Raw genomic sequence first — 13,407 nt, forward strand, 5'->3', positions numbered from 1 at the left:
CCGCGGATTGGTTCCGAATTAGTTGGTACGGCCCCCTGGCCTGTAGCGACAGGTGATTGGCTGAGACGCCCTTTATCACAGCGAATGCTAGGCGTTCGGCTCGTGGTATCCCCTAGCAACCGCCTCTTGTCACAGATCTGAACCAATCATAAGTTGGCCCGCCCCTGATGCTACCAGATGCGGCCGTCGATTGGCCGACATGACCGACAAGTCTCCTTGCGGAAGAGCGCTCTGCACCGACAAACATGCCCGTACATTTGATTGGCTCCTGCCCCGCTGTAGCCCTGCCCCCACCTTCAGGACGCAGATTTCAAAGCGCGCTCAGCAACCTCGGCTGTATTTATTGATACAAGGAAGATCACCCGAGAGTCAGGGACGTGGCGGCGAGGGGCCCTGGAAATCTCCAGATACCAAAGCTGGAAGGGCGTGGAGTCTTCTCCAGTTCTCCTAGTTTACAGATGTTGTGACCTAGGCTTACAATGGGCCTGGGGTCTGAAAGCGGGACGTGGGCTGCGGGGGTCAAAGAGCCGGTTTGGTGGAGGTCAGCGCCACAGCGCGCCGTGCCAGGAAGACTTTATTCTGCGCCTCCTGGGGCAAAGAGAGGTGGAGGTGAGACAATCCTCTTCCCCAACCCCTTTCCATGTTCCCCAGGGGCCCTCTCAGGGACCCGCCTGGCTCACCGTCTCTCTCTGACGTTTGAGCTCAGAGATGAGGCGTCCGTAGGAGTTAGCCAGAGCCACAGTGTACGCCATCAGGATGCTGAAGGAGACAGGAACGGAAGCCACTCCTGACACGCTCTTCCATTATATCCAAACGTCTGGCTCCTTCGAAGCCAGGGATGTGGACGCCTAAGCCCCTCCTCGTCTGGGCTCAAGGAGTTCAGTCTCCCAGCCCCTCCGCCTTCAGATCCAGGAGTCCTACGTCCCGCCCACCTCCTCCTTCGGACCCAGCAGTCCAGGAGCCTAGGCCTCCTCCCTCAGACTCAGTACGTTGCCTGCTCCCACGCCCAAGCCTCTCCTCTCTTGGACGCAGGTGGTGGCCCCCAGATCACACGCATTCAAACCCAGACCCAGAAGTCTGGGCCGTCTCACCTGGAGATCAGCAGAAGGGGCACAGCAAAAGCCTGGGTCCCCAGGAAGAAGAGGAAATTCTGGGTGGTCTCAGGGAGGCTGGAAATAGACTCAGGGATCTGGGCCCAGATGGACGACTGCCCCCGGAATGGACCACACAGCTTAGAAGGCGGGATCCTGAAGTCAAGACAGGCTGGGCTCACATAGTGCCAGGAGTCTGAACACTGAATGGGGAGAGAGGGAGGGAGAGAGGCGGGAGCCTCTCGCACTTACAGGAAGATGCTGTAAAGCAGGGGAACGCTGGAGATGGCCAGACCCAGGAGAAGGACCAAGGGGAAAAAGAAATTCGCCGCGGAGGCCCGGAAGGTGCGGGCAGCCGGGGAGCAGGTGGAGAAGAGGGTAAGCTGGTGGGGGAAGGCACGGAGAAAAGGGCTCTGAAACACAAGAGTCTGTGCCTCCATTTTTTTTTTTTTTTTTTTTTGAGACAGAGTCTCGCTCTGTCGCCCAGGCTTTTTTTTTTGAGACAGAGTCTCGCTCTGTCGCCCAGGCTGGAGTGCAGTGGCTCTCACTGCAGCCTCCCCTCCCGGGTTCAAGCTATTCTCGTGTCTCAGCCTCCCGAGTAGCTGGGATTACAGGTGTGCACCACCACTCCCGGCTAATTTGTTTTGCTGTTGTTGTTGTTTGTTTGTTTTCTCTTTTTGAGACGGAGTCTCGCTCTGTCGCCCAGGCTGGAGTGCAGTGGCACGATCTTGGCTCACTTCGACCTTCACCTCCCTGGTTCAAGCAATTCCCCTGCCTCAGCCTCCTGAGTAGCTGGGATTACAGGCGCCTGCCACTAAGCCCGGCTAATTTTTTTTGTATTTTTAGTAGAGACGGGGTTTTGCCATGTTAGCCAGGCTGGTCTCAAACTCCTGACCTCAGGTGATCCACCCGCCTTAGTCTCCCGAAGTGCTGGGATTACAGGCGTGAGCCACTGCACCCGGCCTACCTGCCTCTCCTTTTTTCCGAACCAGGAGTCTGAGCCCCTTCCTCATCTAGGACCCCGGAGTCTGAGTCCCCAGATCCTCAGACATATAAGTCAGAATGCCCTAGACCCCTCCTCTCAGATGCAGTAGTCTGTCCTCCAACCCCCTCCTCTCTCAGGACCGAGTAATCCAGGCCCCCAGGATCTTCCTTGCCCTTGACCCAGGAGTGCGGGCCCCAATACCTCCTGCCTCAGACCCAAGGGTCCCCCCTACCCCTTACCTTCTTCAGGTAGAAAAGCAGCAGGAACTTGACCGTGTTAAGCAGGGGCAGTAAAGGGCAGAAAAAACTCCCCACCCAGACCACCGTCTGCGCGTAGATGAGCCCCAGCACCTCGTCGGGCACCTGGAACTCTTGGGTCCCCGCCAGACGACCCAGCGCCCCAGGACAGAGGCCACAGAGGAGCCTGAAGGACGGGGCGGGGCCGGGCCGGAGTCAGGGGAGTGGCGGCCTGGAGTTTCCACGCCTCCACCGCCCCGCCCGCCAATAGGAAGCATGCGTATTGGTGGTGGGGGGGGGGGGGGCGGGACTTTCAGGACTCCACGTGGAGGGGGTGTGTCCAGAGGGCGGGTCCTGAGGACTAGAAGGGACCCAGATGTCGCCGCCGTCGGGGCCAGAGGGAAGTAACCCACTAAAACAAGGGCGGGGAGCGGGGAGATCTGCGGACCTAGGGCAAGCAAAGGGAGCAGGCAGAGGCGGGAATGGTAAAAAGGTGCGCGGTGAAAAGAACAGCGCGATGGGGCACGGCCTCGTCCTAGAGGGGCGGGGCCACAGCAAGGGGCGGGGCTCTCACTTTCTAGGAAACTGGATGAGCAGCGCGACTGCCAAGACAGTCAGCAGATCAAAGAGCAGAAGTTTGTACATTTCCTGGCCCAGGACAGTCTCCCAGCACTGAAGAAGGAAGAAATATATCAGAAAGAACTCGGGACCCGGGCACCTGGAGGCCCACGCGTCCGAGTCTCCACATCGCAAGCCTATGAGACCCTGTCAATACTTTCTCTGGGGGTCCTCGTTTTTCAAACTTTCATACCCTTGGGAGAGTGTTCCAGCACCCCAAGCTCCCCTCTCCGCCCAAACCAAGAGTCTGGACCCACCCAGCTCCATCTTTCCTTCAGGGACCCAAGAGTCCCACGCACACCCATGCCGTTCTCACCGGAAGTTGTTTGTAATTGTAGCCACAGGTTTTGCAGTCCTCAGCCTCGGAGTCGCCCCCACAAGTGATCTGATTCCAGAGAGAGAAGAGCAGGACCACCAGGGAGGCGAGGCGAAGAAACACGGTCCTGAAGGGGGGAAGGCAGAGAATGGGCCCTGACCCGGTACCCACCATGTGGCAGTTCCCTTCTCAGTGGAACGCGCCCGCATTCAACCCATCTCACAGATGAAGCTGAGGCCCAGTGACAGAATCAGGATTTCTTTCTTTCTTTCTTTCTTTTTTTTTTTTTTTTTTTTGAGACAGGGTCTCACTCTGTCACCCGGACTGGAGTGCAGTGGCGCGATCTCAGCTCACTGCAACCTCCACCTCCCAGGCTCGAGCCATTCTCCTGCCTCAGCCTCCCGAGTAGCTGGGACTACAGAAGCCACTACCGCCGGGCTAATATTCGTATTTTTACTACAGACGGGGTTTCATCATGTTTGTCAGGCTGGTCTCGAACTCCTGACCTCAGCCTCGGCCTCCCAAAGTGCTGGGATTACAGGTGTGAGCCACTGCACCTGGCCAACAGAGTCAGGATTTGAATCCCTGGATTCGGTATCAGCAGGATTTCCGTGTCTTACCTGTCAGCGCCAACATCCCTCTGACCGCCCCCACCCTTCATCATTCCCAGCCATCCCCGTGAGGCTGGAACCTGAGCAGGATAAAAACGATCTGGCGACTCCGAGTGTAGCCCTCCAGTGGAGCAATGAGCTTGAACACGGGCGGCAGCACAAAATTGACCCCAGCGATGAAGATGGACGGAAGGTAATTCACCCCAAGCTTCAGCAGTGGCAACTCCTGGACAAGGGGCATCTCCTGGGAGCGGGATGGACCATGAGTAGAGGCTTGGGGTCCTGGAGGAGCCAAGCTTAAGGTCCTCCCCCCGGCCTCTTCTTCTTCTTCTTCTTTTTTTTTTTTTTTGAGACAGAGTCTCGCTCTGTTACCCAGCCTAGAATGCAGCGGTGCGATCTCGGCTCGCTGCAACCTCTGCCTCCCGGGTTCAAGTGATTCTCCTGCCTCAGCCTCCTGAGTAGCTGGGATTACAGGCGCCCACCACCACGCCCGTCTAATTTTTGTATTTTTAGTAGAGACTGTTTTTCACCATGTTGGTCAGGCTGGTCTGGAACTCCTGACATCGTGATCCGCCCGCCTCAGCCTCCCAAAGTGCTGGGATTACAGGTGTAAGCCACCGCGCCCAGCCTCTCTTTTTCCTTTAAAATCCCTAAGTCCAGGGTCCGAACATACCCTCTCCCATACTTCCTCTCTAAGATCTCTGGCATCCCAAACTTCCGTCCCCTCCCTCCACCGTTGGAAATGTAGGTTCCAGGACCCCCTGGCTTCCTCTTCCAAGACCGTCCGCACCTGCAGCTCCACGGTGCACCCCGTAGCCCAGTAGACGCCATAGAAGGCTGCCCCCAGGAGCGCGACCACCAGCAGGTTGAGCAGCACCCGCACCAACCAAACCCTGGCTTGCTGGCCCAGCGTCCGCACCGCAGCCTGGCGCCGCACCACTGTCTCCTCCAGCTCCACCTGAAGGCAGGAGAGATGCCCGCTTGGACTCCATTTCCCAAGGCGCGGGCCTCCCGGTTCCCCAGGTCTGGCTCTCCAGAGATCCTCCTTAACGTGAACTGATGCAGCCGTCTCCCCACCCGCTAACAACCTCTGCAGTCCTGGTTCCACCTGCTCCAGGAAACCAGCGGCCCTTTACAGCCCCGCCCCTTCGCGGCCGGATCCAGCAACCCAAGCCCCCATCCCTCCGCGGTCAATCTCAGCACCCCAGGCCCCGCCCCTGAGGCTCCGCCCAGCATCCCAAGACCCGCCCCTGGTCAGCCCTGCCCATCAGAGGCTCCGCCCCCAGGTGGCCCTGCGCTTTATTCCTGGCCTGAAGTTCCAGTTCAGCTGTATCAAGACGCCCTGCTGGCCGCTCCCATCACTTAACTTTGAACCAAATTGCCTTAGGCCCCGCCCGCTTCTTGTGCTTACTTAAAAAAAAACAAACTTTTTTTTTTTTTTTTTGGTAGAGAGGGAGCCTCCCTATGTTGCCCAGGCTGGTCTCGAACTCCTAGACTGAAGCGATCCACCTGTCTCGGTCTCCCAAAGTGCTGGGGTTACAAGCATTAGCCACCGATCCCAGCCCTGGCGCATCCTTTTCCTACACGCTTGGAGCTCGGGCAGCCCTATCTCGGCCTCCTCTCAACCTTCTCATTCCCCAGGACCTGCCTTTCTTGGAGAAGGAGCTGCTTAGCATCTCTCCGGAGGCCCCATCACCGAGTTAGGCCCTGTGCGTTATCTCAGCCCGGTCCTGTCTGGTCCCTACCCAGTTGCAGACCCCGCTCCCTAATCGCACCTTTAATTCGTACAAGATGATGCGCTGGCGCAGCCGCACGTGGACGTCCCCGCAGAGACCGAAGTCCCAGGCCGAGAACACCCGGTGGCTGTAGCTGGTCAGAGCCTCGGACTCCGCCAGCAGTGTCTGCTTCAGCCCAGACACCGAGCTGAGAGGGGAGACCCGGGAGACGGGAAGTGAAAGGACAGCCAGGAACGGGGGTTATGGGGAGACCCCTCATATTGGGACAAATGGGGAAGATGAACCCTAAGGCCTTGGGTACTAGGCGAGTTCCCACCAGACCAGATGGGGAAAGAGTCAAAGAGGCGGAGACACAGTCATTGAAGGCAAAGTCCAAGGGAGATTCAGAGACAGTTCTGGGGTGCAGGCACCCCAAAGAGAGGCAGAAACCTAGGAGACAGGGACAGAGCCTCGGAGCGAAGGGGGCAGAAACCCAGAGTGAGAGAAACAGAGGCCCTGAGGAAGACAGAGATGTGGAGGAGGGACAGAGGCCCCAGAGGGAGATTCGGAGAAAGGGAGAAAAAGACAGTGAGAAAGGGGAAACTACATCTACAAAAGATGGGGGTCAAAGACCCATAAGAAGTACAGGCACACAGAGAAGGGAGCTGCGGCGGGAAGAGCCGAGAAGAAGACAGAGACCCAGAGAAGATGGCAGGTAAAGACTCAAGAGAGGGGGCAGGCCAGGCGCCATGGCTCACGCCTGTAATCCCAGCACTTTGGGAGGCCGAGGGGGGAGGATCACCTGAGGTCAGGAGTTTGAGACCAGCCTGGCCAATGTGGTGAAACCCCGTCTCTACTAAAAATACAAAAATTAGCCAGGCGTGGTGGTGCATGCCTGTAATCCCAACTACTTGGGAGGCTGAGGTGGGAGGATCACTTGAACCCAGGAGGTGGAGGTCGCCTCCAAAAAAAAAAAAAAAAAAAAAAAGACCCAGAGAAGACGGGCAGGTAAAGAGACTCAAGAGAGGGGGGCAAAGACCCAGGAAGGAGATAGAGAACCCCAGCAGGGGCAGAAACAGAACTGGACAAAGAGACCATGTGCACCTTCACTGCCCTGGCCCCGGCCCCCATCATCTCTCATGTGAACAACCACAGAGGGCCCTCACATGGTCTCCTTGCTTCCACTTGTGCCCGCATATAATCCATTCTCAGTTCTTGAGCCAGTGGGACCTTCTTTTGATGCAACTCAGACCGTATTCCCCTGTTTAAGACCTATTCCAGGGCTTTTCCCTTCTCTTAAAATCGAGGCTCTTTGCCGGGCGTGGTGGCTCACGCCTGTAATCCCAGCACTTTGGGAGACCGAGGCGGGTGCATCACCTGAGGTCAGGAGTTCGAGACCAGCCTGACAAACATGGTGAAACCCCATTTCTACTAAAAATACAAAATTAGCCGGGCATGGTGGCACATGCCTGTAATCCCAGCTACTTGGGAGGTTGAGGCAGGAAAATTGCTTGAACCCGGGCGGCGGAGGTTGCAGTGAGCTGAGATCGCACTACTGCACTCTAGCCTGGGTGACAGAGCGAGACTCCGTCTCAAAAAAAAAAAAAAGTTGACTTTTGGCCAGGCACATTGGCTCATGCCTGTAATTCCAGCACCTTGGGAGGCTGAGGTGAGCAGATCTCTTGAGCCTAGGAGTTTGAGCGCAGCCTGGGCAACATAGCAAGACCCTGTCTCTATAACATTAAAAAAAAATTTTTAGCAAGACATGGTGGTGCACCCCTGTGGTCCCAGCTGCTCCCGAGGCTGAGGTAGGCGGATCAGTTGAGTTCCGGAGGCCCAGGCTTCCGGTGAGCTATGATTGCACCACTGCACGCTAGCCGGGTGACAGAGTGAGACCCTGTCTCAAAAAACAAAACAGACTGGGTGCGGTGGCTCACACCTGTAATCCCAGCACTTTGGGAGGCCGAGGCAGGTGGATCACCTGAGATCAGGAGTTCGAGACCAGCCTGGCCAACATGGCGATACCCCGTCTCTACTAAAAATACAAAAAATTAGCTGGGCGTGGTGGCCGGAGCCTGTAAACCCAGCTACTTGGGAGGGTGAGGCAGTAGAATCGCTTGAACCCGGGAGGTGGAGGTTGCAGTGAGCCAAGATCGTGCCATTGCACTCCAGCCTGGGCGACAGAGTAAGACTCTGTCTCAAAAACAAACAAACAAAACAAATGAAAAACAAAAACAAATCCCAAAACCTTGATCTTTTTTTTTTTTTTAGATGGAGTTTCTCTCTGTCGCCCAGGCTGGAGTGCAGTGGCGCAAACTCGGCTCACTGCAAGCTCCACCTCCTGGGCCACCGCTCCTGGCCCAAAACCTTGATTTTAACTCACACAGAATAAAGGGTTACACAGCAAGACCGAGGATTCTGGGGCCGGGCGCGGTGGCTCACGCCTGTAATCCCAGCACTGTGGGAGGCCGAGGCGGGTGGATCACGAGGTCAGCAGTTCAAGACCAGCCTGACCAACATGGTGAAACCCCATCTCTACTAAAAATACAAAAAAGTTAGCTGGGCGTGGTGGCGGGCGCCTGTAATCCCAGCAACTTGGGAGGCTGAGGCAGGAGAATCGCTTGAAACCGGAAGGCGGAGGTTGCAGTGAGCCGAGATTGCGCCACTACACTCTAGCCTGGGCAATAAGAGCAAAACTCCGTCTCAAAAAAAAAAAGACTGAGGATTCTTGGGGAGGGGGTTTCTGCCACCACCACTTGCTTCCCCACCCCAACCCGTCCCGTCAGGGGTCAGGGGTGCAGGTGCCACTGACCGATGCAGGATGAGCAGGAGGCAGATGAGGCCAACGGCAAAGGCCCAGCACAGGTAGGTGACCGCCAGGCGTGGGCGGGGCGGGTAGAAGCCATAGAAGAGAGGGGACCATTCCAGGTAACCCTGTGGGGGGAAGGCGGCGCAGGGGCCACTGTGGGAGGAGGCGGGGCTCCTGGAGCTGCACAGTCAGGGTCTGGGGTCAGGGTTTGAGGTTCGTGTCATTGAAGGCACTGGGGTCACAGGTGGGCGGGGAATCCCCCAGGGACCCAGGCACCTACCTCACCCGAGAGCAAGTTGAAGAGCTGGGTGGCAAAGGTGACCAGGCCCTGGGAGTGGGGGTTATAGGAGCCGCAGGGCGAGGAGATGTCGGGGCCGGGAGGGCCTGGGGGAGCGCCTCCCAACCAGGTGGGCAGCAGCGTCATGCAGGCCATGAGCACAGAGGCCAGCACGTTAAGAAGGAGCAGGAAGCGCAGCAGGGAGAAGTAGGACTCCGTGCCGGCGCCAAACTGGCCTGCAGGGGGCAGCAGAGAGAGGCTCAGGTTCCTTCCCGGGAGCAGGACCAGCCCCTCCTACCCCTGGACTGGGGTCCAGCCGCGCCTTCCTTTCTTTCTTTCTTTTCTTTTCTTTCTTTTCTTTTCTTTTCTTTTCTTTTCTTTTCTTTTCTTTTCTTTTCTTTTCTTTTCTTTTCTTTTCTTTTCTTTTCTTTTCTTTTCTTTTCTTTCTTTCCTTTCTTTCTTCTTTCTTTCCTTCCTTCCTTCCTTCCTTCCTTCCTTCCTTCCTTCCTTCCTTCCTTCCTTCTTCTTTCTCTCTCTCTCTCTCTCTCTCTATATATATATATATATTTTTTTTTTTTTCTTTTCTTTTCTTTTCTTTTTTTTTTTTGAGACGGAGTTTCGCTCTGCCGCCCAGCATGGAGTGCAGTGGCGCGATCTCGGCTCACTGCAACCTCCGCCTCCTGGGTTCAAGCAATTCTCCTGTCTCAGCCTCACGAGTAGCTGGGATTACAGGCGTGCGCCACCATGCTCAGCTAGTTTTTGTATTTTTGGTAGAGACGGGGGTTTCACCATGTTGGTCAGGCTGGTCTCGAATTCTTGACCTCAGGTGATCCACCCACCTCGGCCTCCCAAACTGTTGGGATTACAGGCGTGAGCCACCGCGCCAGGCCCAGCCGTGCCTTTCTCAGACCCAAGAGTCCAGACCCCCAGCCCCTCCTCCCTCAGACCCAAAAATCCAGGCCCAAGCCCCTCCTCCCTCAAACCCAGGAGTCCGTCCCCAGCCCCTCCTCCCTCAGACCCAGGAGTCCAGGCCCTGCCCCCAGGACACCACCCAAACCCCACCGCACCCCCGATCCTCTTCAGTGTCCACGCCCAGGGCTGCAGGCTTCGCAAGCCTTCCTTTGTTTTCTCCTTGGACCTCCGAAGTAGCCGCGCCCATCGGTCCGTCTTAGTTCCAGAGCCATAGACCACCTGGTCCCTGCTGGCATTTCTTTGCCTGGGAGGGAAACAGGCAGAAAATGAGGGGTTTCGCAGCCCCAGACTGGGAACCATCTGAATGTAGACACAATCCAACAGTAGAATGGAGAAGTAAATTGTGGCCTATACATAAGATAGAATACTCTGTAGCAATAAAAAAGAAACCAGCTGGGTACAGTGGCTCAGGCCTGTAATCCCAGCACTTTGGGAGGCCGAGGTGGGTGAATCACCTGAGGTCAGGAGTTCGAGACCAGCCTGACCAACATGGTGAAATCCTGTCTCTACTAAAAATACCAAAAAAAAAAAAAAATTAGCTGGGCCTGGTGGCGGGTGCCTGTAATCCCAGCTACACGAGAGGCTGAGGCAGGAAAATTGCTTGAACCTGGGAGGTGGAGGTTGCAGTGAGCTGAGATGGCGCCATTGCATTCCAGCCTGGGTGACGGAGTGAGATTCCAAGAAAGGAAAGAAAGAAAGAAAAGAAAGAAACCTAATGCTAGGCAGAAGAAGCCAGCACAAAAGACTGAAGACTGTATGATTCTATTTGCACAACGTTGCAGAGCACAGCTTGCAAAGCTCTACAGAAAAGCAGGAGGCTGGAGTGGGAGGATCGCTTGAGCCCAGGTGTCGGAGGCTGCAGTGAGCTGAGACTGCACCACTGCACTCCAGCCTGGGCATCAGAGCAAGACTCTGTCAAAAAAAAAAAAAAAAAGGTTAGGGAGAAGAGGTTACCTTGTATTTGTGAGGAAAAAGGGGGTGTCAGGGGAGGGACGCACAGGGTGCTGTCATGCCGTGTCACTTGCCCTAGCTGGAGTTTATCTGGGCTCTCACTTTATGAATACAGCCATCCCTCAGTATCCATGGGGGTTGGTTCAAGGACTCCCCAAGAATACTGAAATCTGTAGATGCCCAAATTCCTTATATAAAACGGTATAGTATTTGCATACAGGCTACACACATCCTCCTGTGTTTGTTTTATTTTATTTTATTTTAATTTTTATCTGATTTTTACAGACAAATGTCTCGTTTTGTTGTCCAGGCTGGAGTGCGGTGGTGCAATCATAGCTCAATGCAGCCTCAAACTTCCAGGCTCAAGCAATTCTCCCGCCTCAGCCTCCCAAAGCGCTGGGGCTACAGGTATGGGCCACGACACCCAGCCCTCCAATGCACTTTAAATCACCTCTAGATTACTTATAACACCCGGTACAAGGTAAATGTTATATAGATAGCTGTTCTTTTAACTTGTATTATTTTTTGTCATATTGTTACTTTGATTATTACTTTTAAAAAATAGAGATGGGGGTCTCGCTATGTTACTCAGGCCGCAGTATAGTGGCTATATTCACAGGCATGATCCCACTACTGATCGGTGTGGGAGTGTTGATACATTGTTATTTTTTATTGTTTTTTCCATATATATACACATATATATACATATATATGTGTATATATATACACACATATGCATATATATACGCATATATATTTGAGATGGAGTCCCGCTCTATCACCCAGGCCGGAGTCCAATGGCACGATCTTGGCTCACTGCAACCTCTATCTCCCTGGTTCAAGCGATTCTCCTGCTTCAGCCTCCCGAGTAGCTGGGATTACAGGCACCCGCCACCACACCCAGCTAATGTTTGTATTTTTAGTAGAGTTGGGGTTTTGCCATGTTGGCCAGGCTGGTCTCGAACTCCTGACCACAGGTGATCCACTCGCCTGGGCCTCCCAAAGTGCTGGGATTACAGGTGTGAGCCACTGCAATGGGCCCATAATCATTTTTGAAGGAGGGCACCTGCATTTTCATTGTTCACCAGGCCCTGCAAATTATGCAGTGAGAATGGGAAAAGAAAGAAGTTAAAGAGAGGGAGGCTTGGAAGAGGAGGCAAAGATGAAGGAAGGTATAAAGCAGAGAGAAATAAATATTAACAGATTTTGGACACACACACAGAGAGAAACTGAGGCAGAGACAGGATTGGTGGAGACCAGGGAGACGGCAAATCCCAGAGAGAAGAGACCCCAGAGCCATCGAAAGGCAGCACTCACCTGGAGTCCGAAGTAGAGACAAAGATGAGGGGAAGAAAGAAACCAAGAGAGGCAGCTCTGAGCGGGGCAGAGAGAGGCCCCAGAAGCCAGGAGCGGCAGAGGACAGAGGGAGGAGACCGAGTCCAGGGTATGGGAGAAGGGCCCGGTCCGGGCTGTGCGGGTCCCAGCTGGAGGTGGGGCCTCACCTGTGTGCCCGTCTGGCCTGCATGGGCCAGGGCAGTTCCCGGGAAGGGTGAGGGTCCTGCAGCTCTGTCTGGGTGACTTCTGTGAAGGCCTTTCTGCTCCTTCCTCCATCCTCCTCCTCCTCCTCCAGCGCCCCCCAAGGCAGCACCCCAGGGTCTCGGTACCGAAGGGTGGCAGCACTGGGCAGCTCGTTCAGCACAGAAGACAGCGATGGGCCTGGGGAGGAGCAGGGGGCTGGGAAGACCCGGGAGTCTGGGCCCTAATTCCTCCTCCCTCAGACCAGGAAACCAGGTCCCCGGCCCCTCCTCCCTCAGACCCAGGAGTCCAGGCCCCCGGCTCCTCCTCCCTCAGACCCAGGAGTCCAGGCCCCCGGCTCCTCCTCCCTCAGACCCAGGAGTCCAGGCCCCCGGCTCCTCCTCCCTCAGACCCAGGAGTCCAGGCCCCCGGCTCCTCCTCCCTCAGACCCAGGAGTCCAGGCCCCCGGCTCCTCCTCCCTCAGACCCAGGAGTCCAGGCCCCCGGCTCCTCCTCCCTCAGACCCAGGAGAACAGGCCCCCGGCGCCTCCTCCCTCAGACCCAGGAGTCCAGGCCCCCGGCTCCTCCTCCCTCAGACCCAGGAGAACAGGCCCCCGGCCCCTCCTCCCTCAGACCCAGGAGTCCAGGCCCCCGGCTCCTCCTCCCTCAGACATAGGAATCCAGGCACCCAGCCCCTCCTCCCTCAGACCAGGAAACCAGGTTCCCAGCCCCTCCTCCCTCAGGCCCAGGAGTCCGGGTGCCAGCCTCTACTTCCCCTGGACCCAGGGGTCCACAGCCCTCAACTCCATCCCCAAGCGTGGAACCCTCCTACTCCAGGGCAGTGGAGTCCAGGCTTTAACTTCCTTTTCCCTCTAGCTCAGGAGTGTGGGAACCCAGCCTCTCCTATTCCCAAGACACCCAAACTCCCAGCCCTTAGCCCTCCCCTCCTCCCAGACTAGCCTGGTTCTCCAGGCTCCTCCTCCTCAGACCCTGGAGTTCCAGCCTCCAGTTCCCTTCTCCCCCATAATATCAGGAAGTGGAACCTTCTCTCTTTAGCCCTCAGACTCAGGAGGCCAGGCCTCCCCTTTCCTCCTCCAGCAGGACTCCCACCTAGCCTGAAGGTCGGATGGATCTGAGCTTCTCCTGGCATTCCCTACCTCCTCTGGCCTCCCGGGGGGCCAGCCACTCCCTAGAGGAGCCCCAGGCTTCTGATTCCAAGGTCGGGTTTTCTTCCATGGCCCCAGGCTGGGCTGTCTCTAGTGGCCACCAGGCAGACACTGCCCCAGGTAAGGGAGGGGCCAGGGGCAGGTGT

The 13,407-nt window shown here is 56.1% G+C and overlaps 1 protein-coding gene across 4 annotated transcripts; it reads right to left on the reverse strand.

Annotated features, from left to right (window-relative positions):
- TMC4 (transmembrane channel like 4) lies at window positions 322-13,374 on the reverse strand. Of its 4 annotated transcripts, none has more exons than XR_935741.3 (15): window positions 13,253-13,374; window positions 12,084-12,315; window positions 9,726-9,874; window positions 8,662-8,894; window positions 8,385-8,506; window positions 5,633-5,780; window positions 4,648-4,815; window positions 3,938-4,101; window positions 3,247-3,373; window positions 2,887-2,984; window positions 2,316-2,499; window positions 1,344-1,474; window positions 1,092-1,247; window positions 681-824; window positions 322-588 (listed from the first exon to the last, which is right to left on the reverse strand). XR_935741.3 is itself a non-coding variant. In NM_144686.4 (15 exons), the coding sequence occupies exons 1-15, from the start codon at window positions 13,329-13,331 to the stop codon at window positions 520-522; spliced, it is 2,121 nt and encodes a 706-aa protein (NP_653287.2). In that variant the 5' UTR covers window positions 13,332-13,374; the 3' UTR covers window positions 322-519. The 4 variants fall into 4 exon arrangements, 3 of the variants coding, with proteins under 3 accessions (NP_653287.2, NP_001138775.2, XP_011524788.1); NM_144686.4 differs by having other exon boundaries at window positions 681-759; window positions 12,084-12,297; NM_001145303.3 differs by having other exon boundaries at window positions 681-759.

The sequence above is a fragment of the Homo sapiens genome, chromosome 19 (genome assembly GCF_000001405.40).
Source record: "Homo sapiens chromosome 19, GRCh38.p14 Primary Assembly".
In the NCBI taxonomy this organism is placed as follows: Eukaryota; Metazoa; Chordata; class Mammalia; order Primates; family Hominidae; genus Homo; species Homo sapiens.

What these genes read in the sequence shown, in the direction of transcription:
- TMC4 (NM_001145303.3), bottom strand. Translation starts at nt 13,331, where the DNA reads ATGGAAGAAAACCCGACCTTGGAATCAGAAGCCTGGGGCTCCTCTAGG. An exon ending in CTCCTGCTCATCCTGCATCG is followed by an intron (nt 5,781 to 8,384) that starts GTCAGTGGCACC and finishes CTCCCCTCTCAG; the next exon opens with CTCGGTGTCTGGGCTGAAGC. An exon ending in GGTGCACCGTGGAGCTGCAG is followed by an intron (nt 4,102 to 4,647) that starts GTGCGGACGGTC and finishes TCCCGCTCCCAG; the next exon opens with GAGATGCCCCTTGTCCAGGA.